The 25105-nt window shown below is 43.4% G+C and overlaps 1 protein-coding gene across 9 annotated transcripts in view, besides 3 other annotated features; it reads right to left on the minus strand.

The window, feature by feature from the left end:
* The window catches only part of CYTH1 (cytohesin 1), a 108226-nt gene that overhangs the window by 72700 nt on the left and 10421 nt on the right, over positions 1-25105 (minus strand). The window lies entirely within an intron of this gene.
* Positions 2167-2226: an enhancer, noted in NCBI's record as "active region_12908". NCBI's record gives its function as "activates an Ori minimal core promoter by ATAC-STARR-seq in GM12878 lymphoblastoid cells {active_cell/tissue: GM12878}" and the evidence as "EXISTENCE:reporter gene assay evidence [ECO:0000049][PMID:35858748]".
* Positions 2287-2356: an enhancer, noted in NCBI's record as "active region_12909". NCBI's record gives its function as "activates an Ori minimal core promoter by ATAC-STARR-seq in GM12878 lymphoblastoid cells {active_cell/tissue: GM12878}" and the evidence as "EXISTENCE:reporter gene assay evidence [ECO:0000049][PMID:35858748]".
* Positions 22175-22344: an enhancer, noted in NCBI's record as "experimental_47533 CRE fragment used in MPRA reporter constructs". NCBI's record gives its function as "activates a minimal promoter by MPRAs in K562 erythroleukemia cells, with activity observed for the non-introgressed 17:76765089 variant allele {active_cell/tissue: K562}" and the evidence as "EXISTENCE:reporter gene assay evidence [ECO:0000049][PMID:34662402]".

Raw genomic sequence — 25105 nt, forward strand, 5'->3', positions numbered from 1 at the left:
CCTAGACAACATAAACAGACTCCGTCTCTACAGAAAACTAAAAAATTAGCTGGCTGTGGTGGTGCGTGCCTGTAGTCTCAGCTACTTCAGAGGGCGAGGCAGGTGATGACCATCTGGGCTCAGGAGGTCAAGGCTGCAGTGAGCTGTCATCACCCCACTGCACTCCAGTCTTCGTGACAGAGTCAGACTCTGTCTCAAAAATAATAATAATAAAAGTGTACACTGATTTATTAAAAAAAGATTTGACTCTTTACCATGTGTTCATTCTAAATGATGTCTGTTGAACTGTGCCAAGCACTATGTTAGCCAAGAGCTAGACCTACAAAGGTCAAGAAAACAAAGTATCTCCCTCTTCAAAACACAAGAGTTCATTGGAGGACACAGGTAATGGCAGCGCCAAAAAAAAAAAAAAAAAAAAAAAAAGAAAAAACTACATGGCATGCTAAGGATCAGGCTCTGAAGGCCCAGAGTATGCCAGGCTCGTAGAGTAAGAATAGAAAAAGTCCCTGGGAGGGGTGGGAAGATAGTGGCACAGGTATACTAACGAGGGGAGTGACTTTTAAGAAAATGCACACTCTCAGCAGCATTCTCTGGTATTTAGGAAGAGATCTGGGGAGACTCAAATACTGCACTGCGGTCCCAATCTTGAAGGATCTAGAGGTCAACATCTGCGGGGAGGAGGCACTGTCTGGGAGAGGCAGGACATTTTTAGAGAATACTATTCAGTGATTTTAGCATGTTCACAAAGTTATGCAACCACCACCACTATCTAATTCTAGAACATTTTCATCATCCCCAAAAGAAAACCCCATACCCCATAGGAGTCACCCCCATTCCCGCATCCCCAAACCCCTGACAACCACTAATCTACTTTCTGCCTCTACAGATTTGCCTAATACATGGCCTTGTGTGACTGGTTTCTTTCACCTGGCACAATGTTTTCTATGTTCAGCCATGTTGCAGCATGTGTCAGAACTTCATTCCTTTTTATGACTAAAGAATCTTCCCTTGTAGGGACAGACTTCATCTTCTTTACCCACTCATGAGCTGATGGCATCTGGTTGTTTCCACTTTGGGGTTCTTATGAAAACTGCTGCTATAAGCACGTAAAATTTTGTGTTGTATAGGATCTTTAAAACTATATCTATGTTCCACTTTGATTAAAATAAATTTCACAGTATTTTTGGCCCTTGAGCCCCTATGCTCGGGTCCACTCTCACACTGTGGAGTGTACTTTCATTTTCAATAAATCTCTGTTTTTGTTGCTTCATTCAAAAAAACAAAATAAAATAAATTTCACAATATTTTCTACTTTTCTGAACCCTACCCATTATTCAAAGTCCAGCTCTGCAGCCTCCTCCCATCACATGGCTCTCTCACTGTCCGCCACTGCACCCCACACACCGGAAACAAACTAAAGATGCTGACCCACATTTGTGGTAAGTTTCACCTCTAAACATTCTCTGATTCTGAGAGCTACGAGTCCTATCATCAAAAATGAAAACTCTATGGAACCAGCTTGGCGTGGTTTTACTGGATCACTGAGTAGTCATGCCAGGTGTCCCGTCAGCTGGTGTAAGTATTGATCATCCTGCTGTGTGATTAACAAATAGTTTCAACACAGTCCTGGGTCAAAGGAAAATGTTTACACATCCAACAGGCCCAGGTTACTGTAGGGGACAACAATGCCTAGGTTATCAGGAAAGCTCACTGTTTAACTGGATTCAAGGAATAAATTATAAGCACCAGCCATTTAATGATAAATACAATTGATCTTTCTAGTACTTTTATTACTTGAGAGAATACAGGAGAATTGTCTGAAGAAGGGGGTAAGGGAGATTATTCAATTAATTCATTGGGTTTTCTGTATACTTCTAAACCAAATTCAGTTAGGAATTTTTACCAAAAAATTCCAGCCTTAATTCAAGGATGTTTATGAAAGCAAAGTTCTCTGATCAAATAAGAGTAAGTAAAAACGGGTGGGCGGGAGGAGTGTGCTTGCTTTTGTCCCTTGTTGCTTTGGAGATCTACTTTGATACAGGAGCACTGCAGATCCCCTTCCTGTTTCCTTTGCTCTCCTGCCTTACTAATTATATATCACCCCTTCCTTGCAAAACCACAAGACCAAATGTTACAAGTTACAAAATTGGTGTACTCCACCCATCCTTTACTCAGCTGACACAGAGCAAACTGAACCAGCGCGGTCCTGCCACAGCCCTGAAGACGGAACCATCACATGACAGAGGAGCTTGCGAGAAGGGCCCAACACACCCACATACTGTGTGAGGCAGAGCAAAGGTGGCAGCAGTAAGACCACCAAGGTCAGCCAGTCCAAACTTCTTGATACCTGTTATTGATTTAAAAACAAACTAGGCCAGGCATAGTGGCTCAGACCTGTAATCCCAGCACTTTGGGAGGCCAAGGTGGGAGGATCACTTGAGCCCAAAAGTCTGAGACCAGCCAGCACTTTGGGAGGCGAAGGCAGGCAGATCACCTGTGGTCAGGAGTTCAAGACCAGCCTGGTCAACATGGCGAAACCCCGTCTCCACTAAAAATATAAAAATTAGCCAGGCATGGTGGTAGGCACCTGTAATCCCAGCTACTCGGGAGGCTGAGACAGGAGAATTGCTTGAACCCAGGAGTCAGAGGTTGCAGTGAGCAGAGATTGTGCCATTGCACCCCAGTCTGGGTGACAGATTGAGACTCCATCCCCCCTACAAAAAAAAATTTAAAAATTAGCCAAGTTTGGTGGGTGTGCCTGTGGTCCCAGCTACTCAGGAGATTGAGGTGGGAGGATTGCTTGAGCCCACAGGTCAAGGCTGCAGTAAGCTATGATCATGCCATTATATTCCAGCCTGGGTGACAAATTGAGATCCCTGTCTCAAAAAAATAATAATAACAAATAAAAATAAAAAAATAAAAAAAAACCTAACTAAGCAGAAACCATTGTTTAAAATCTAATTATCTTGCTTTAGAAGGCAGGTGGTTTCAGAAAAAAAGAACTCTAAAACAATCTATTTTTGAAGTGTTTTTTTCCCAAGATTTTCTCCAAGCTTTTACTTAATACATTGTTCAGATGTTTCTCTGCCCTAAAAAAAAAATTCCCTTACAGTTCAAAAAATATTCCTAACAGGTTTAGAAGCAGTCCTCAAATTGCAGAAACTACTATTACCCAAAGAAATACCAAGTGCTCCTAAAATAATACCACATACTTATTCCACAAAATATTTCTTAGCCTGCTCCCTCTGGGTCTGAAAAGGATAGCAAATCAATGGCCAGGGGGTGAGAATATGCTTCTCCACGTGCCCAGAAGGAAGGGAACATGAGATATGGGTGCACAGAGTGGCATCAGCTACGGGAAGCTCATGTGGCATCCAGGCAAGTAATTCAGTGGCCTCCACTAGCACATCAGCAGCAGAGATGCAGAAAAACAGATTACTTCAAGATGCGTTTTGGAAGTAGAATAAACCATACTACTAATGAACTGGATAGGCAGAACAAGAGAAAGGGAAGGCTGATATCAAAACATTCAAAACATTTGATGGGAACACCTATGTGAGCGGATATGCTATTTCTCAGGTGGGGTGAATAAAGAGGGACACAGCACCAGGGGCTCTGCTGTGGCCATGCCAACTGTGAGAGACCCTGTAGGTATCCCCCAGGAGATGTCAAATGTGGCACTGGGATGTCACAGCCTGAAGTTTAGGGGTAGGAAGAGGGCTAAGCTATAGCTGATTCTTGCTATTCAAAGTAGTTATTGTTTAAAAAGTTGTTGCTGTTGCCGGGCACAGTGGCTCATGCCTGTAATCCCAGCACTTTGGGAGGCCTAGGCGGGTGGATCACGAGGTCAGAGTTCGAGACCAGCCTGGCCAGCATGGTGAAACCCCATCTCTATGAAAAATACAAAAATTAGATGGGTGAGGTGGTGGGCGCCTGTAATCCCAGCTACAGCTACAGGCAGGGAGTATTGCTTGAACCCGGGAGGTGGAGGTTGCAGTGAGCCGAGATCACACCAATGCGCTCCAGACTGGGCGAGAGAGCGAGACTCCATCTCAAAAAAAAAAAAAACAAAAATAGTCATTGCTAACACTGAATTGGAAAAGACTAAACCGTTGCTCCTAGGGGAAATACAGGTTAGGTTCCTACAGACCTCTGGTCACACTTTTGTCAACTGAACAATACATAACCTTGTTTATATGGGTTTCTGTTTAAAGATGGCTTATTTAATATATATTGTTGTGTTTTGTTTTGTTTAAGACAGGGTCTCACTCTGTCACCCAGGCTGGAGTCCAGTGGTGACATCCTGGCTCACTGCAACCTCTACCTCCCAGACTCAAGCAATCCTCCCACCTTAGCCACCTGAATAGCTGGAACCATGGGCGCATGGCGGGGGGACATGGGCTCTATTTTTAGTAGACACAGGGTTTCGTCGTGTTGCCCAGGCTGGTCTCAAACCCCTGGGCTCAAGCAATCCACCTGCCTCAGCCTCCCACAGTGCTGGGATTACAGATGTGAGCCACCATGCCCAGCCAACTGTTGATTCATTAACATTGAACTCATGGCCAACAGCACTGTAACTCATTCCTGAGCAAAGCTTCGCTAACATACTATATTTTCTCCATAAGGCACATCATGGCCTCTTGTACTTAGGAACAATAGACAGAAATTCAGCATTATGATTAGGGGCTATTTTAAAGAGCAAGTCACCAGCAAAGGCACAAAAATACAAAAAAAAAAAAATGTAATGCTAAATAGACCACATAAAGGTCATTTGTTTACAGTATGAGGGCTGAAACAAGAAATCAGTCACCTTGTTTCACAGTGGCTGGAAATGTGTACACTGAGCAAACTGCATTTTTCACTGCTCTGTGAATGTCCAGAAATGACCACGAAAGGACTACCTTTGGACTGATTTGCGGGTTACAAATAAGCTTTAGTGAGTAGGAAAATTCATGAATACAAAATCCACAAATAACAAGGATTGACTGCATAAACGAAGAAGGAATCAGAGTACAGGTATCTCTCTGCTATTGGTTATATCAAATGATAATTTCATCTTTTTTGTTTTTTGTTTTGTTTTGAGACGGAGTCTCACTGTGTCACCCAGGCTGGAGTGCAGTGGCATGATCTCGGCTCACTGCAAACCCGGCTAATTGTTTTGTATTTTTAGTAGAGACAGGGTTTCACCATGTTGGCCAGGCTGGTTTCGAAACCCTGACCTCGAATGATCTGCCTGCCACGGCCTCCCAAAGTGCTGGGATAACAGGCGTGAGCCACCGCGCCCGGCCTCAAATGATAATTTCAAATAGTCTAGTTCAAAGATCCTATTACTGGGAAAGAAACGGAGAAATTTAACCTATTTTACTAATTTGCAACATATTTCCTAGATGTTTGAAATAAGGACTCCTCCATCTCCCTCTCTTCGCCAGTTACAAGGCTGATCATATGATCTCCATGTTCAGATTTCTTTTTCTATTTCTAGTAGGTTTAGAGCTTGTGAGGAAAAAGGGAAATGTTAGTTATTACTCTTTTCCACTGTAAAGGAGTTTTTTAATAAGCATTTTTATAGAGATTTTCATAGAAATTACCTTTAAAAAGTACCTAATTGGAGTAAAATCTCTACTATCAATAAAGAGTACCAGGGCTACAGGGATAAACAATGCTGCCGATCATCTCAGACAGGACAGAGAACTTCTTTTTTTTGAGACAGAGTCTTGCTCCGTCACCCAGGCTGGAGTGTAGTGGTGTGATCTCAGCTCACCACAACCTCCGTCTCCTGGGTTCAAGTGATTCTTCTGCCTCAGCTTCCCGAGTAACTGAGACTACAGGTGCGCGCCACCACGCACAGCTAATTTTTGTATTTTTAGTAGAGACAGGGTTTCATTATTGGCCAGGCTGGCCGCAAACTCCTGAGCTCATGATCCACCCGCCTCAGCCTCCCAATGTGCTGAGATTACAGGCGTGAGCCACTGCACCTGGCCAAGAGAGAGAACTTCAACAACGTATTTCAGTTTATAATCTTAACCATGTAAATATAAGTAAGGTCACACACCTCATATCACAATGTGATTATACAGATTAAATACGATACTGAAAATGTTAAAATGCCTAATTAAATACAAAGCCATAGGTAGTACTATAACGCATGAATTTTGTTGTTGTTTAGTTCAAGACTAGTCCTGCCAAGACATTCATAATCTTGGGAAACAGGACACACAAGAACACATAAAGCAAGAAAAAGTACACTCAGGATTACCAAATCTCCCCCAAAGGTTTACTCTTCCTTTTCCCAAAGTCTTAAGGCACATGTATGAGTGAGTGTAGGGCAGGGTGGGAGAGGGGCACCAGAGTCACCAGGAACATGAGGACAATCAGAGGCAAGCCTCTCATGCCACCCCAGCACAGCTAACAGACTGTCAATAAATGGTCAGGCTGGGCGTGGTTGCTCATGCCTTCAATCCTAGCACGTTGGGAGGCTGAGGTGGGAGAATTGCTTGAGGCCAGGAGTTCTAGACCAGCCTGGGCAATATAGTGAGACCCTATCTCTAATTTAATTATAAGGAAAAAAGAAAGAAAAAATAAAAACAAGTCACAAGGCCGGTGCCACAGGCAAGTGCCAAACCTCCCCAGAAGACTCATGCTCTTGGCCAGGCAGTGGCTCATGCCTGTTAGCTCAACACTTTCGGGAGGATCACTTGAGCCCAGAAGTTTGAGACCAGCCTGAGCAACATGGTCAGACCTTATCTCTACTTAATAAATAAATAAATAAATAAATAAATAAATAAAGATAACAACAAAGAATCGGAGGGCTGCTGACATCCCTAATTACATGGGGTTTGTGCACTGCCCTTAGGGAATCTAACAGTAGATTATAAACATTAACTGAGCAGTAATAACAGTTAGGACAGAAGACAGTGTATAATAAGGTACTAAATGGACTAAATAGGTGATTTGCCATACTCCAATTATGAAAACACCAACTTCTGCAAACTTTAATTACTTTTAACTCCTGCCATCTATCTCATCTGGGGACATCAATCACTGATTCTTTAGAGTAACCTTTAATTAAAATCTTAGTTCCAAAGTATGTTGTCTAGTCTAGTACTTCAAACACCAAAAAACCCTTGCAGAATTGTTCTAAAATGATTTTTAAAATAATCCCTTAAAAAATATAAGAAGTCCCCCACCTCACCCCTTTTTTAAAATGATTCACCACTGAGTGGTAATGACATCATCAATCCAGCGTACTGCAAACACCTGGCTGATGGCATGCTAGGATCCTCTCCTCTAGATACACGTGGAGTAGGGAGGGAGGGTCAAAGTGGCCGTTGTGTGAAGCTATGTCACATTGTGTGTCAGGACCGTCGTGGACAAAGCGACCGGCTACTGAGAAGCAGCGCATCTAGATAAACTCGGAAAGGAAAGGCATGCGTGTGATGCTGACAGAACTTTCCAAGAGCAACTGTCTTCTCTGATCTGCCATGCTTCAAAAACAAACCCTCTTACGCAGATTTGCCCACCCATAAGAATTTATACTTCTAGTTTTTACGTGACTTTCCCTCAATTTTAAGGAAATAGAAAATTGTGGGGTTTTTTGTTTTCTTTTTTTTTTCTGAGACAGGGTCTCACTGTGTTGCCCAGGCTGGAGTGCAGTGGTGCAATCTTGGCTCACTGCAGCCTCAACCTCCCTGGTTTAAGCAATCCTCCCACCTTAGCCTCCCAAGTAGCTGGGACCACAGGTGTGCACCAACGTGCCAAACTAATTTTTTTCTTTTTTATTTGTAGAGACAGAGTGTCACTATGTTGCCCAGGCTGGTCTCAAATTCCTGGGCTCAAGCAATCCTCCTACCTCAACCTCAAAAAATGCTACAATTACAGGTGTGAGCCATCATGCCCAGCCCAAAATTGTGATTTTTAGTACAAGAATATAAAATAAATTTTTGCATTTAGTTTGTGACTGAAGTTTTATGTCACTTTTTTAAGGTAAATCCATTTTTAAATTTATGCAAAATAACATACTTATAAAAATCTTTAACTGCTTTGCATATTATACTTATGTTAAATAAAAGCTCTTCTAAGCCTTATTTTGAAACTAGTTACATATCATTTGTACATTCCATTCCTAACTAACCTCTATTATATTTTATATATAATAAAACATTTTTAAGGGGAAAATGGTCTGTCACACAATCCAGCCATTCCATGTGTAGGTATAACACAAGAGAAGTGAAAACATATCCACATAATGACTCATACATGAATGTTCCCAGCAGTTTTATACACAATAGCCCAAATCTGGAAACAACTCATATGTTCATCAACAGGTGAAGAGACCAAAAACGTGGTGCAGCCATACAGTGGAACATTACTCAGCAATGAAAAGGAACAACTGATACCCCCAACAATGAATCTCAAACATAATATTATTTATTTATTTATTTGTTTTGAGACAGAGTCTAGCTCTGTCACCCAGGCTGGAGTGCAATAGCGCAATCTCAGCTCACTGCAGCCTCCGCCTCCCGGGTTCAAGCAATTCTCCTGCCTCCACCTCCAGAGTAGCTTTCTGTATTTTTAGCAGAGACAGCCATGTTGGCCAGGCTGGTCTCGAACTCCTGATCTCAAGTGATCCGCTCGCCTCGGCCTCCCAAGTGCTGGGATTACAGGCGTGAGCCACCACGCCCAGCCTCAAACACATCATTCTGAGTAAAAGCCAGACATGTATGATGTTGGCAGTGGGTTTATTTAAAAAAAAAAAAAAGGAAAGAAAGCCAGACACAGAATATACATTGTAACATTGTATGATTTCACTTACATAAAATTCTAGGAAATACAAACTCATCTGTAGTCACAAAAACCAGATCAGTGGTTGCCTGGGGCCGGGGTAGAGGGAGGAATGGACAGCAAAAGGACATGAAGCGGCGGCCAGGCTCGGTGGCAGCACTTTGGGAGGCTGAGGCAGGGGGACTGCTTAAGCCCAGAAGCTCAAGACCAGTCTGGGCAACATAAATAAACAATTAGCTGGGCATGGTGGTGCAAGCCTGTAGTCCCAGCTACTTGGGAGGCTGAGGTGGAAGGACTGCTTGAGCCCAAGAGGTTGAGGTTGCAGTGAGCTGTGTTCATGCCACCACACTCCAGCCTGGGAGAAAGAGCAAGACACTGCCTCAAAAAAAAAACAAAACAAAAAAAGAAAAACAAAACAAAAAGGGCCATGAAGCATCTTTTTCAGGTCAAGAAAATATTGTGCTTTATTGTGATAGTGGTTTCACTGGTGTACAAAACTGCTGAATATATCCCATCAAATTGTACACTATTTATTTATTTATTTATTTTTATTTTTTTTTTTTTTGAGACAGAGTCTTGCTGTGTCACCTAGGCTGGAGTGCAGCAGCGTGATCTCAGCTCACTGCAACCGTCACACCCTGGGTTCAAGCGATTCTTGTGCCACGGCCACTCTAGTAGCTGGGATTACAGGCGCCCACCACCACACCCAGCTAATTTTTGTATTTTTAGTAGAGACAGGGTTTCACCATGTTGGCCAGGCTGGTCTTGAACACCTGATCTCAAGTGATCCACTCGCCTCGGCCTCTCGAAGTGCTGGGATTACAGGCATGAGCCACCGCGCCCAGCCAAACTGTACACTTTAAATGGATACCATTTATTCCATGTAAATTATACCTCAATAATTTTTTTAAAACAAGGAGAAGGAACCTGAAAAGTCTGCAGCAAATAGACAAATGGAAATTAATGTGCTCATCATCACCAATTAAAGGTGCTGAAAATGTCAGTTAGTACCCCTAGTTTGCTAATGAGGCTATTTGAAGTCCTTCAGAGAACTGAGTGACACAGTGAGACCCCATCTAAAAAACAAAAAAGAATTTAAAAATCTGTCTATTCAGAACTAAATCATTATTTGAGTGGACTCATCTTCAAAAGTCTTTAACACATTTTGGGGACACAGATGTCTATTAGAAAATACCACTGGGGTGAGAGGATCACTTGAGCCGAGGAAGTCAAGGCTGCAGTGAGCTATGATCATGCCACTGCACTCCAGCCTCGGTGACAGAGCAAGATCTCATTTAAAAAAAAAAAAGCCTTCATAATCACCAGGAGACACAAGGATGCTGAGAGGTTAGGAACACAAAGTTCAACCACTGGCCTATATTCCAATAAACATGGCAAAAATTAGACTAAGATTATTCACAAGGCGGAATTTCAAGGTTTGAATTTTTTTCTTTTTTTTCTTTTTTTTTTTTTTTTTTGAGATGGAGTCTCGCTCTGTCGCCCAGGCTTCCTGGGTTCACGCCATTCTCCTGCCTCAGCCTCCTGAGTAGATGGGACTACAGACGCCCGCCACCATACCCAGCTAATTTTTTCATACTTTTAGTAGAGACAAGGTTTCACTGTGTTAGCCAGGATGGTTTTGATCTCCTGACCTCGTGATCCACCTGCCTTGGCCTCCCAAAGTGCTGGGATTACAGGCGTGAGCCACCATGCCCGGACTCAAGGTTTGAATTTTCAACATAACTTAAGAAACCCTCATCCTTTGGGGGGATGACCGTGAGTGCAGTTTAAAAAAAAGAAAAGAAACCCTCCTATGAATTAAACAGGTCTTGGTTAGAGGTCAAAGTTCTCCTTCTAATTAGAATGTAAGGTACCTGAGAACTCTATTCATGTCTAAATTGCAAGGCCCATAGAGTGTCCAGCTCATTATAGGTGTTCAATAAGTATCTGTTGAATAGATGAATAAAAAACGACCTGGGAAAGAAGCTGCTATAATTTTCCCATTCTAATACATGTAAACACTAGCCGAGGTTCTTAGAACAAAGTTCATTCTGCCAATGCTGAGAGAGGCAGGAAAAAATTTTAATTATATCAGCAACCCAAAAGATTAAAAAAATATTCAGCCGGGTGCAGTAGCTCATGCCTGAATCTCAGCACTTTGGGAGGCTGAGGCGGGCAGACTGCCTGAGGTCAGGAGTTTAAGACCAGTCCGGCCAACATGGTGAAACCCCTTCTCTACTAAAAATACAAAAAAAATTAGCCAGGCATGGCTACTTGGGAGGCTGAGGCAGGGGAATTGCTTGAACCAGGGAGGTGGAGGTTGCAGTGAGCCAAGATCGCACCACTGCACTCCAGCATGGGTGACAGAGCAAGACTCTGCCTCAAAAAAAAAAATTCAAAAAAAAGTTTAAAAAAATAGTAATTCAATGTCAGGAAGGATAAATTAACAAGTATCATCATATACTGGTATGAGGTGTAAACTGATTCACACTTTCTGAAAACCCATTTGGCAGTACATATCAAGAGACTACAAAGTTAAACTCCCTAACCCAGTAAGTCCACTTACAGGAATCTAGCCTAAGAAAATCACTGGAAATGTGAGCAAAACTTTATCCACAAGAATGTTACAGGATTCTTTCTTACAGGAACAAAGTGGAAACTTCTAAATAACAAGACAGGATGATTAATTAAACTATGCTCCATCTATATCATGCTGCCTTTGGCCGAGGCCCCAAGCATCCCTGCATGTCCTTGCTGAGAGTGCCAAACTGCAAGGTCTGTCTTCTTGTAGCTGGCGACATGAAGTTGGTCAAGGAGACTGTAGCATGACATGCCCCCATTGAGGAGAAGAAGCCTGGCCTGTCTATCACTTGCTATAAAAAGTGCTAAGCCCAGGCCCGGTGTGGTGGCTCACGCCTGTAATCCCAGCACTTTGGGAGGCCGAGGCAGGCAGATCACCCGAGGTCAGGAGTTCGAGACCAGCCTGACAAACATGGAGAAACCCCGTCTCTACTAAAAATAAAAAATTAGCCGGGCATGGTGGTGCATGCCTGTAATCCCAGCTACTCGCTAGGCTGAGGCAAGAGAATTGCTTGAACCCAGGAGGCGGAGGAGGTTGCAGTGGGCCGAGATTGCACCATTGTATTCCAGCCTGGGCAACAAGAGTGAAACTCGAAACTCCATCTCAAAAAAACAAAAAAGAAAGAAAAAAAGAAAGGAAAGTGCTAAGTCCTTGGTGGTCCTTGGTTCCTCAGCTGTAGGCAAACCCAATTCATGCATAGACATCATCTGGGCCCATCATGTCACCCCACGAGACTTGAGGTCAGGGGCACCAGCACTTTCATGCTGATATTCCTGCTATTTGCTGTGCGATGTGTACTAATCTGCCTCATTCTGATCCAGTAGGTCTCGTTATCTACTTTCGGCATCCACGGAGTTATGGCATGTGCTTGTGGCCCTAGCTACTCAGGAAGCTGAGGTGGGAGGATTGCTTAAGCATAGGAGATCGAGGTTGCAGTGGGCTATGACAACACCACTGCACTCCAGCCTGGTCAACAGAGTGAGATCCTGTCTCAAAACAGAAAGAAAATTTCCATAATAATAATTTTCTCAATGTTTGCCAAAGTGCTAAAGTAAGAAGGGCACAATTGTAGCCAATCGAAGCCCACTGCCTGAGGTGGCTTCATTTTCAGACTATATGGCAACTGCCCCGAGGAAGGACTAAAAGGTACTCTCCAAAGACACTCTGGGTAAGTGGACGCAGCCTCAGTTCTTCGTAGGTCTCATGCGCCTAGCAGTCTACATCCCAGCGCCAAGCCTCTCTTTCATCCAACGGGGTAGGCAAAGGGGTCTTTTTAGGTTGCTTCCTCACTGTTGTACAGATCAGGGCTCTAAAACTGGCACCTGGCCACTGGCTGCCTAGCAACAGCTGCAACATAAAGAGACGGTATCTCTTAAAAGGAACAAAACAGAAAACCACACAAAGACACATGGGGAAGCTAAAGTGGGTAGGTAGCTATATACTTGGTAGCTATAATAAAGGAGTAAAAACAAAAATCCAAGGTTGGTTATTCTTGCTTCTTTCATCTGTTGAGCCTCTTCTTAAAAACCTCTGTAAGTTCAAAACCCTCCAAGCGGAATACTGAATGGCTTAAAGCAAAACCACATAAATTAGATAGTTACAGCTGAGGAAATGCATTCAACACTCAGCCATCCCTTCCTACAATCATGGACGCACAAATTCTTGTGAAATCATTTTATACACTCAACACGGGAAATGAAGGGAAGCATCTCTGGCCAGGCCAACTCAAGCCAGAGCCTGCCTGTGTGATGTGACCTTGGAGAGAACAGTTAGAGGTTCTGAAGCGTGAGTTTCCACACCTGGGGTCCCCAAATTTAGGGGCATTAGAAGTATATTTGTGTGCATGTGTGTACAAGCATGTGCATGTATGTACGTATTTATTCATTCACTCATTCCTGGATCTGCCCTGGTACGTTTGGTATGGCTAGAGTAAGGAACCAGAATAAATGGCTTTTTTGAAAGATTCCTCCAGGGATTCTGCGGGTTAGTCAAGTATGGGAACCACCATTCTAACCCAAATTTACTAGATTACGAACTTTAAAAGGGAAGGCTAAACAAACCACTTCTGCATGTTCATCTGCCTAGGACATCTGCTACCACAATTGCAAAAGGTGCCCATGTGGAACGGAAAATACATGGTTGAATTTTACAAATTTAGACATATAAAGCTAAAAACTCAAGAAACACTGAATTCCCTCTTTTGACTACTGATGTTTTAATTCTGGCCTCTATCCAAATAGCAGGTTTATATATATATATATATATATATATATATACACACACATACATATATATATGTGTATATATATATATATACACATACATATATATATGTATATATATATACATACATATATATATGTATATATATGTATGTATATATATATACATATATATGTATATATATGTATATATATATATACATACATATATATGTATATATATATGTATATATATATACACATACATATATATGTATATATATGTATATATATAGTTTAAAAGAAAGCAACAACATTCTACTATCTTAAAACCCTCTTTTCTAAACACTAGAAAATCAAAAATCGCATTACAACAGAACTTAAGACTTTTAAATAGAAGTGAAAAAGTAATTTTACACAAAAAGCATCATATACTTATCTTTCTAAAAGTTACAGGTATCAAGTAAGTCTGATGACATCACTTCTCAAAATCAAAATATATCCCAGATGCTCCTCAACTTACAATGGGGTTACTTCCCAATAAACCCATCGTAAAGTCAACCATAAGTCAGAGACAGTCTCTATATATTTTCTTGATAAATGGGATACCCACCTCCCGGGTTCAAGTGATTCTCCTGCCTCAGCCTCCTGAGTAGCTGGGACTACAGGCATGCACCACCACACCCGGCTAATTTTTGTATTTTTTGTAGAGACAGAGTTTCAACATGTTGGTCAGGCTGGTCTCGAACTCCCGACCTTGTGATCCACCCACCTCGGCCTCCCAAAGTGCTGGATTACAGGTGTGAGCCACCGCGCCCAGCCTCGCGATTTCCAAGTTTTCAGTCACATAGCAATGCTACAATAAACACCCTTGTGCACACATTCTGGTACACAACAGCAGTTCCCCACCTTCTGAGTCCCAACTCAAGAGGTTCTTGTTTTCAGATTTCAAGTTTCAGATCTCCAAGGGGAACTAATTCTCACAGGAACTGCTTTTTCTAGTCCTGCTCTAGGCTGGAATGGGGTGATGTGTAACCTATTTTTGTGTTAAAATCAATTGACCTTGGGAACGTGATAATACAGGGAACTAAAAGCACTCACACTACTCAAAGCTTATTAAAACCTCTTTAAAAATCAAGAGGCAGGGGCCAGGCGCGGTGGCTCACGCCTGTAATCCCAACACTTTGGGAGGCCGAGGCGGGCGGATCACGAGATCAGGAGATCCAGACCAGCCTGGCTAACACGGTGAAACCCCGTCTCTACTAAAAACACAAAAAATCAGCCGGGCGTGGTGGCGGGCACCTGTAGTCCCAGCTACTTGGGAGGCTGAGGCAGGAGAATGACGTGAACCCGGGAGGCGGAGCTTGCAGTGAGACGAGATCACGCCACTGCACTCCAGCCTGGGGGACAGAGCGAGACTCCGTCTCAAAAACAAAAAAAAAAGAGTGTTATTTTTAAAAACTTTTTAAAGCTTAAATTCCTCTTATTAGAATGCTATACACACACATTTATACGTTTGAGAAAACAGTAGTCCAAAGCAAGAGCAGGAAAGGGAAAGAACAGTAGTAGTCAGCTAGACATTTGGTTTTGTATCCTTAACATCTATTCTGAGTGGAAATTAAACCAAATGAGCCTTTAACATAAACGTTTGAAAGAGTAACAGCATCTGGCCTGCTTCCTCCATACAATGAGGTGTCCATCATGTGACATGGGGGAAAACAGCAGATTTCTGGAAAAATAATTACCAAATAATGTTGTGCCAACATCTTCTAGAATAATAAACTTCTTTTTCCTATCAAGGTCCATTGTTCAGGGACATTTCCATTACCTGACAACAGGAAAAATTATCTTTACTCTCAGAGTACAAAAACATTCCTAAGAACAGAGAGCAACAACATAACCTTCTGACTCAAGATAGTCTCTGTTCCGGTAATTTGATGACAAATAGTGTTGCTGATCAGCAGAATATAGAGTGGAAAGGGCGGCTTTTTTGCACATGCCTTCCCCTACCTTTGAATTAGGAGCACTCTTCTAAAACTAGAAATGCTTCACGAAGTCAGACAAAGTCTACAAAGTACTGCAATACTTAATACCCATGAGGCACACTTCCATAAGAAGAAAATGATATGCAGGAAGGATTAAACTGCCCATTCTCACAAGAAACATTCCATGGGCAAAGGCACTAAGGTAGATGTATAGATGTAGTCGGCAGGATAATGGTCCCAAAGATATACATGTCCTAATCACTGGAACCTGTGAACATGTTAAATTCCATGGCAAAAGGGGATTAAGATTGCAGATGGAATTACATCTCCTAATCAGCCAACTTTAGAAGAGGGAGATTATCCTAGAGTATCCAAGTGGGCACACGGATTCTTCCAAATGGAAGAGGGAGGCAGGACAATCAGTGTCAGAGTGATGAGAGGTGAGACTCAATCAGCCACTGCTGGCTTTGAAGATGCAGGAAGGAGCTAAGAGCCAAGGAGTGTGGGCAGCCTTTAGAAGCTGGAAAGGTAAGGAAGTAGATCTTTCCCTAGAGCCTCCAGAAAGAAACACAACCCTGCTGAAATACATTTTGGCCCAGTGAGACCCATTCCAGACTTCTGGCCTCCAAACTGTAAGATAATAATGTATATTGTCTTAAGCCACTAAATTTGTGATAATTTGTTATGGCAGCAACAGGAAACTAATACAATGGAAATGTCCGTCCGGCTGCTTTCTGGATGTTTTTAATCTCAAAAAAAGACTTTTGGCCAGGCACGGTGGCTCACGCCTGTAATCCCAGCACTTTGGGAGGAAGAGGTATGTGGATCACCTGAGGTCAGGGGTTCGAGACCAGCCTGGCCAACGTGGTAAAACCCTGTCTCTACTAAAAATACAAAATTAGCCAGGAGTGGTGGCATATGCCTGTAGTCCCAGCTACTTGGGAGGCTGAGGCAGGAGAATCGCTTAAACCTAGGAGGCAGAGGTTGCAGTGAGCCGAGGCCGTGCCAAAAAAAAAAAAAAGACTTTTAATCCCTCTCAAGATACACACATTTATATACACATTTGTCAAACACCTTAATACTTCCTAGAATAAAGTGGATTCACACCACAAATCACCTTACTGTAGGTTATAGAGTAGTCCCTCCTTATCCACAGGGGATACTTTCCAAGACCCCCCACGGATGCCTAGACCACAAATAGTAGTGAACCCTATATACAACATGTTTGTTCCTATACATACATACCTATGATAAAATTTATAAAGTAGGCAGAGATTAATAATAAACTAATAATAAAGAACATTATAATAAATAATAAAGAACAATAAGTTGTTCTATAAAATATGCTGTAATAAGAGTTACGTGAATGTAGTCTCTCAAAATATTTCCTTGTACTATACTCACATATTTTCAAACCACAGCTAACTGCAGATAATTGAAACCATGGAAGGTGAAACCATGGATAAGGGGGAAAGTATGCTAGCCTCCTCTTAAAGAATTTATTTGCTACACTCATCTTTCAAACATAGAATAGGCCAGGCGCAGTGGCTCACGCCTGTAATCCCAACACTTTGGAAGGCTGAGATAGGCACATCACTTGAGGTCAGGAGTTTGAGACCAGTCTGGCCAACATGGCCAAACCCTGTCTCTACCAAAAATAAAAAAATTAGCCAGGCACAGTGGTGTGCGCCTGCAGTCCCAGCTACTCGGGAGGCTCAGGCAGGAGAATCGCTTGAACCCGGGAGGCAGAGGTTGCAGTGAGCCAAGATCCCATCACTGCACTCCAGCCTGGGTGACAGAGCGAGAGTCTGTCTCAAAGAAAAAACAAAACATAGAATAATCATTTTCTTCTTTTTATAAGCTCACAACTAATACCATAAAATAATATTTCCATCTAAATGTCTTTTTTTTTTTTTTTTAAGACACAGTCTTGCTCTGTTGTCCAGGCTGGAGTGCAGTGGCACTATCTCGGCTCAATGAAACCTCCGCCTCCTGGGTTCAAGCAATTCTCCTGCCTCAGCCTCCTGAGTAGCTGGGACTACGGGCGCACCCCACCACGCCCAGCTAATTTTTGCCAGGATGGTCTCTATCTCTTGACTTCATGATCCACCCACCTCAGCCTCCCAGAGTGCTAGGGTTACAGATGTGAGCCACCGCGCCCGGCCTAAATGTCCCTTTTTCAAGATTTGTACTGAAATCTCTGAATGCATAAAAAATGTCTCTATAAACTTCCCAGCAAGTCAACAGTGAGGAACTCACTAACTGGTTATCAACATAAGCAGTTTCAGCAAGAACCAGGCTTATATATAAACCCCAAAATAATGGAAGAATGAAATTAGATGTATGCACGAGGTAAGAGGGATCTATTTTAACTGCAACTCCCAAGTTTCCATGAGCAATTTCAGTGACCTTTGTTTCTATATCAAAAGCAGAGGGAGTGGGGGAGCATGGATTTAATGATTCAGTCAACAAGCTCTGAGAGCCTACAATGTGCCAGGCCCTGTTTCTGGCATGCACATGGGATAGGGGAGAGTAACAAAAGGGATGAAGATTCCTGCCTTGTGGAGTTTCCACTTCAGCTGGAGAAGACTGACCATGCGTAATAAACATAATGAGTAGGTTCCCGGGGGATGAGCATTATTGGGAGTCAAGCAGGGTAAGGGTGGCAAGCAGAGAGGAGGGGGGCACTGGCTGCTCAAGCAAACAGGGGAAGTCTTGTCGAGAGAGTGCGGGAACTGAGCATGAGGTTATTTGGAGGAAAAGCATCCCTAGCACAGTGAATAGCTGGAGAAAGGCCCGAGCTGGGGAGCGTGCCTGGTGTGTACCAAGCACCGCAAGGAGTTTGCTGAGTGCATGAGCAGAGGGGCATGGGTATCCCTGATGGGTCCCAAGGAACAGGAGCAGGATCACCGGGAGGCCCTCCCTGAGGCATCAGTAGACTCAAAGAGAAGCCTTCCTCAGTGGACCATGGAACACACCCAGAAAACGGGGCTCCTTCTAAAGGTAGACCCCAAAGTCTAGGTTGGAATCCCTATTTCTTTTGGGATATCATAAACCCATAAAATAAATATTTCAATTATAATTCTAAAAATCTTTTTAGAATTTAATTTCCTCCATGCTTTGTCACTGCAGTCTGGACACAGAGAAATCGCAGAAGTCTTTGTCAAAGTTAGAGAACAAGTTGAAGAAGTCTCCGTCTTCAATAAATCAGTAAAAGCCAGTGTGGAGTAGAGGAGACAAGCCTGAAGTGGGCTATTCAGAAGTCCAAGAGGGTTTCAATGCCAAGCAAAACAAATGGCAAGCCCTCAAAAGCTGTATCTGACTCTATTTTATTGTCAGTTTGCTGTCCTGACTAAACAGAAGGTTTAGTCAGGATGGTCCCCCAGATGGTCCCCCAGAAGACAAACACCAAGAGGTGCCACAGCACAAGACAGTGGTGTTTCCAGGGCTCCCTGGATGTGCTCCCCAAGAACCAGAGTCCACAGCTGAGCTGAGAGCAGGCAAATGATCACAACTTGATTTTTTTTAAATCCTGCAATAGCATGAATAAAGTGGCACAAATCCAAGTCCTAAAGTCTATTTTTGAACCTGCAAAGCTAGAGGGTCTTGTCTTGAGATCCTTGGTGACCCTACCACAGTACTCACATTCCAATGAGGCCCTGTCAAAAACCAGCCTTAGGCTGTGCACGGTGGCTCAAACCTGTAATCCCAGCACTTTGGGGGTGGGAGGATCGTCTGAGCCCAGGAGTTTGAGACCAGCCAGGGCAACATAGTGAGATCCCATCTCTACAGAAAAAAAAAAAAAAAAAAAAAAGCCAGCCCCTCCTCTAGCAGGAGACAAAGCTTCCAAGTCAGGACTTCGGGCAGGAAGACTCTGGGAGCTGCTCTGTAACTCCCTGGAAGAAACATTATTCTGCTAGTGTTCTCCTGTCTCACTGTTAAATGAGTTCTTTCAGCAGCCTTTTTATTTAGTCATAAAGGGCAAAAAGGCTAAGAGAAGCCATGAAAAGACCCCTGAAAATGGCTGAGAGACAAGCTCAGTAAGATTCGTTAACCTTTACCTGGTTACCTGGATTTCTCATAAATTCTAGTGGCCCAACCACAAAACATGTTCTGGCTCCAGGGAATCATCAAAGGCCAGGCTGAGTAATTCTTGTTGCCACAACATCAAACCCAGTTTACCAGAGTCCCTGGAAGGAAACAGCAGCCCCTAAACTAAATGCTACCCGGGGGATTAAGGAAAAAGATACTGCCTTTACTGCATGATCCTACAAACTCCTCAAATTTCAACCCTAAGATTAACAATGGCTCTTTCAATGTAAATGTGTTTAATAACCAGCAACACAGGTTTAACCAAAACTCTGTCCAAACTATATCAAGATACAAAACTCTGTATCCACTCCCAGAAGAAAGAACGTTTAGAAAGTACATAAATTCATCTCTGAGAGGTCTGAGAAAAAGAAAAAACAATGAAAAGACATAAATAGCATATAAGGTATGTAAAAGTACAAGACATAAAAATGAAGAGGGGGGTGTGAATGAGCAGCCAGTATAGAAAAAGCCCATTCAAAGCATGGCCTGTGCATGGAGCCTGAGAAATCTAGCTTGTGGTGCCAGCTCAACCACTCAGCAGCTATGTCCCTTTAGAATCTCTCTACTTCTCCATTTCCTCACCTATAAAATCAGTACAGTATTTGTTGCCACCCACAGGGTAACTGTGAGGGTTCAATGAGAACTTACGAAAAATGTTCAGCAATGAACTTCATGTGCAGCAAGCAGTTAACTGCTAGTGTGGGAACAGCTAGAGCAGTGACACCTACTCTGGCATGTTCCCATCTCACTTCATCCCAGTAGGTAACTGCCTGTTGGGTTTGCTCAAAAGTACGTCTCAGCCGGGCATGGTGTCTCACGCCTGTAATCCCAGCACTTTGGGAGTCCGAGATGGGAAGACTGCTTGAGGCCAGGAATTCAAGACCAGCCTGATCAACATAGTGAATCCCCATGTCTAAATTTTTTAAAACCATTTTTTTTAAAGTACATCTCACTCAGAACACAGTGAAAGCTGAAAGTCCCCAGGCTCCCATAGCATTTGTTGGTATTTCCACCATAGCAAATTTCCACGTGAACCGCCCTACACTGTGAGCTTCTGGAAAGCAGGGCCTATATCTTAAAATTCTTCACAGCCTGAGCATAAAGCAAATACCCTGACACAAAGAATTTAAAAAGTCTGAACAAACGGATGAATAGATGAACAAATGGATGAATAGATGAACAAATGGATGGTTGAATAGATGAATAAACGGATGGTTGAATAGATGAACAAACGGATGGTTGGATAGATGGGAAACAATTTAAATGGCAAGAAAAAGAATCCAGTGTTTTTTTCAAGCCATAATGATTGCAGTGATAAGTGAATGGTGATAAAAGTTTAAAAATTAGAGAGGTCTAGAGGTAACACCAGAATGAAAGGGCCAGGAGCAAGTCTCGGACATGCTGAATCTTGGACAATGATGGGATATCCAAGGGGAAATGTGCAGGAAGCACTTGAAAATGCCAGAATGCAGCTAAGATTCAAACGTTCTCTTAATTTCAATCTTAGGGCTGTTGGAAATAATATTTCAGAGAATTAGAGAACACAAAAGAAAGGAAGTTAAACAGGTTTCAAAAACACATATAGTCTGCAGCTGCTGTGTACAGAAGCCAGAACAGACAAAATGAAATGTGAGACCGATCGTCCTGGAGGTTTACAACACATCACATATGAATGTTTTCATTCAAGACTGGCTCGGAATCATTGTCCAAAGGTATAAAAAGGAGTCTATAAATACTCTTAATATCCCCCAGAAAAATACAAAAAGCTCTCCACTCTGCAACTTCCAGCTCCTGCCCTCTCTCTCTTTCCATTTACCATCTAGTTACCTGAAGAGTTATATACATTTGCCTTCAAAGTTTCCCTTTCAGATCTCTTCCTCTACCCAGCCCTTCAGTGGTGGTATTCCAAGACGACATCCTTGGACTCCTCAATCAGCCCGTGGCATCACCCACTCCCTGGGTTCCACTCCCACTCCTGCGTTGATCATCTCTGGAGTTGCAGGTTCAAATTCAACTATTTAAATGGGTCTCTCAAAGTGGACACTGTACAAGTACCACAAAACTCCAGAGATTACGTCCAAAACCGAAGTCCTATTCTCAGTATGGAAACTCTCCAAGCAGTCATCCAAAGACAGAAACCTGGTGCTCACCTTCGTCACCCTGTCTCTTTCATCTCCTTTCAATGCTATGTCCCTCCCAAACACTGGCAACCAAATCCATCAATTTCATGTCCTTCACTGGTCCTGTATTTTTTCTCTCCTACCTCCTACTCCCACAGCCTGAATTCAAGCCCTCATCACCTAGCTCACCTATCTCCAAAAATTCCTTAAGGGTCTCTCCACTGCCAATCTGAGCCACACTAAGTCAGAAGAATCTTTCTAAAATGCAACAGAATGCTCTGCTTCTCCCTCTCCTTGCCTCCACCTGCTTCCTTTCTCTCTCCCTTCCCCCTCTTGGCAAAAATAAAAAATAAAAATAAAAAAAAGAACGGGCGCAGTGCCTCACACCAGCACCTTGGGAGATGGAGGTTGGCAAATCACTTGAGGCCAGGAGATCAAGACCAGCCTGGCCAACATGGCAAAACCCAGTCTCTACTAAAAATACAAAAACTAGCCAGGTGTGGTGGCACATGCCTGTAATCACAGCTACTCAGGAGGCTGAGGCACGAGAATCACTTGAACCCAGGAGGCAGAAGTTGCAGTGAGCTGACATCACGCCACTGCACTCCAGCCTAGGCAACAGAGCAAGACTATGTCTCAAAAAAAAAAAAAGCAAAATAATCAGCATAAAATATCCCTGGTTTAAACCCTCTCATAGCTCCGTGTCCCACAGAATAAGTCCTGTGTAACAACACATACTGAAGCCCCCCATAACTGTCCCCCATTTCTCTAACCCTGCCTCTGGCCTCCTCCCTCTGCTCACAGCCTACTCTCCAGGCACAAAGAACCATTTGTAGCTCCCCAAGTGGCGAAACTGCTTCACACCTCCTGTCCTCTCATTCTCTTTGCTTTGATATATACTTCTTTGCAATGTTCTCCTACTTGGCACTAACTCATCTTTCACAATCCAGCCCAAGGGCCAGCTCCTCTACAAACTCTCCCCTGGCCAATCCAGTGCCATCCCAGCGCCAGTGGAACTGGCACTGCTCTCCTTGGTTTACCTACATTTTTCATGCACACACCTGCCACATCTACTGTGACACGCTCCTTCACAGCTTGCTGCCATGTTTGTCTCCTCCTTCTAGACTCAAAGCATCGGTGACAACAGGGACTACATGGTATGAAATGATCACTCATGCTTGTTGACTGAATAAACCATTACAAACTACTCATAGAAACCAATCTGCGAGCCGGATGCAGTGGCTCACACCTGTAATTCTGACACTTTGGGAGGCCGAGGCAGGTGGATCCCCTGAGGTTCGGAGTTCTAAACCAGCCTGGCCAACATAGTGAAACTCCGTCTCTACTAAAAATACAAAAATTGGCCAGGCACAGTGGCTCATGCCTGTAATCCCAGCACTTTGGGAGGCCGAGGTGGGTGGATCACGAGGTCAGGAGATAGACGCCATCCTGGCCAACATGGTGAAACCCCGTCTGTACTAAACATACAAAACTGAGCTGGGCATGGTGGCGTGTACCTGTAATCCTAGTTACTCGGGAAGCTGAGGCAGGAGAATCACCTAAGCCAGGGAGTCAGAGGTTGCAGTGAGCCGAGATCGCACCACTGCACTCCAGCCTGACGACACAGCAAGACTTCGTCTCAAAAAAAAAAAAGAAAAATACAAAAATTAGCCAGGCATGGTGGCGGGTGTCTGTAATCCCAGCTACTTGGGAGGCTGAGGCAGAATAATTGCTTGACCCGGGAGGTGGAGGATGCAGTGAGTCGAAATTGTGCCACTGCACTCCAGCCTGGGCAACAAGAGCAAAATTCCCATCTCCAAAAAAAAAAAAAAGAAAAGAAAAGAAAAGAAAAAAAAAAAAACAAAGAAATCTGTGATATTACTACAAAATAGGCGGGTTTTTTTTGTTTTGTTTTGTTTTGTTTTGTTTGAGACGGAGCCTCACTCTGTCACCCAGGCGGGAGTGCAGTGGTGTGACCTCGGCTCACTGCAATCTCCACTTCCCGGGTTCAAGCGATTCTCCTTGTTCAGCCTCCCAAGTAGCTGGGACTACAGGCGTGCGCCATCACGCCTGGCTAATTTTTATATTTTTAGTAGAGATGGGGTTTCACCATGTTGGCCAGGATGGTCTCGATCTCTTGACTTTGTGATCCGCCTGCCTCGGCCTGGGATTACAGGTGTGAGCCACAGAGCCCGACTGAAAATAGGTTTTTTTAATAGCCTTAGCCAATTCCATCATTCATACCTAACACTACTAATTACAACATAGATTTAACAATGCCAGGTAAGGGCACGCTTCTGAAATAGAAGCCTTGAAGACTCAAGAAAAGGTAGAAAATGGCCAAGTGCGGGAGCTCATACCTGTAATCCCAGCAGTTTGGGAGGCCAAGGCAGGCATATTCCTTGAGCTCAGGGGTTCAAGACCAGCATGGCCAACATGGTGAAACACCGTCTCTCCTAAAAATACAAAAACTGGCCAGGCGCAGTAGCTCACATCGGTAATCCCAGCACTTTGGGAGGCCGAGGTGGACAGATCACATGAGGCCAGGAGTTTGGGACCAGCCTGCCCAACATGGCAAAATCCCATCTCTACTAAAAATACAAAAATTAGCCAGGCATGGTGGTGCCCGCCTGTAATCCCAGCTACTCAGGAGGCTGAGGCAGGTAAACTGCCTGAACCTGGGAGGCAGAGGTTAAGAGAGCTGAGATTATGCCATTGCATGCCAGCCTGGGCAATAGAGCAAGACCCTGTCTGAAAAATAAAATAAAATAAAAATGTAAAAATAAGCCAGGTACAGTGGCACATGCCTATAATCCCAGCTACTCAGGTGGATGAAGCATGAGAAATGCCTGAACCCAGGAGGCAGAGGTTGCAGTGAGCCAAGATCACGCCACTGCCCTCCAACCTGGACGACACAGCAAGACTGTCTCAAAGAAAAAAGAAGGCCAGGTGCGGTGGCTCACACCTGTAATCCCAGCACTTTGGGAGGCCGAGGCAGGCAGATCACAAGGTCAGGAGATAGACACCATCCTGGCCAACACGGTGAAACCCTGTCTCTAACAAAAATACAAAAATTAGCTGGGCATGGTGGCATGCACCTGTAATCCCAGCTACTTGGGAGGCTGAGGCAGGAGATTTGCTTGAACCAGGGAGTTGGAGGTTGTAGTGAGCTGAGATTGCGCCATTGCACTCCAGCCTGGTGACAGAGCGAGATTCCATCTTAAAAAAAAAAAAAAAAAGAAAGAAAAGAAAAGGTGGAAAATATAAAGACTTGGATAAGGAAGGTATTATCCTGGCCCTTACTATAAAATTCAGTCACTAAAGAAAGCAGCTAATAACCATCTC

Source organism: Homo sapiens, chromosome 17, assembly GCF_000001405.40.
Source record: "Homo sapiens chromosome 17, GRCh38.p14 Primary Assembly".
Lineage (NCBI taxonomy): Eukaryota > Metazoa > Chordata > Mammalia > Primates > Hominidae > Homo > Homo sapiens.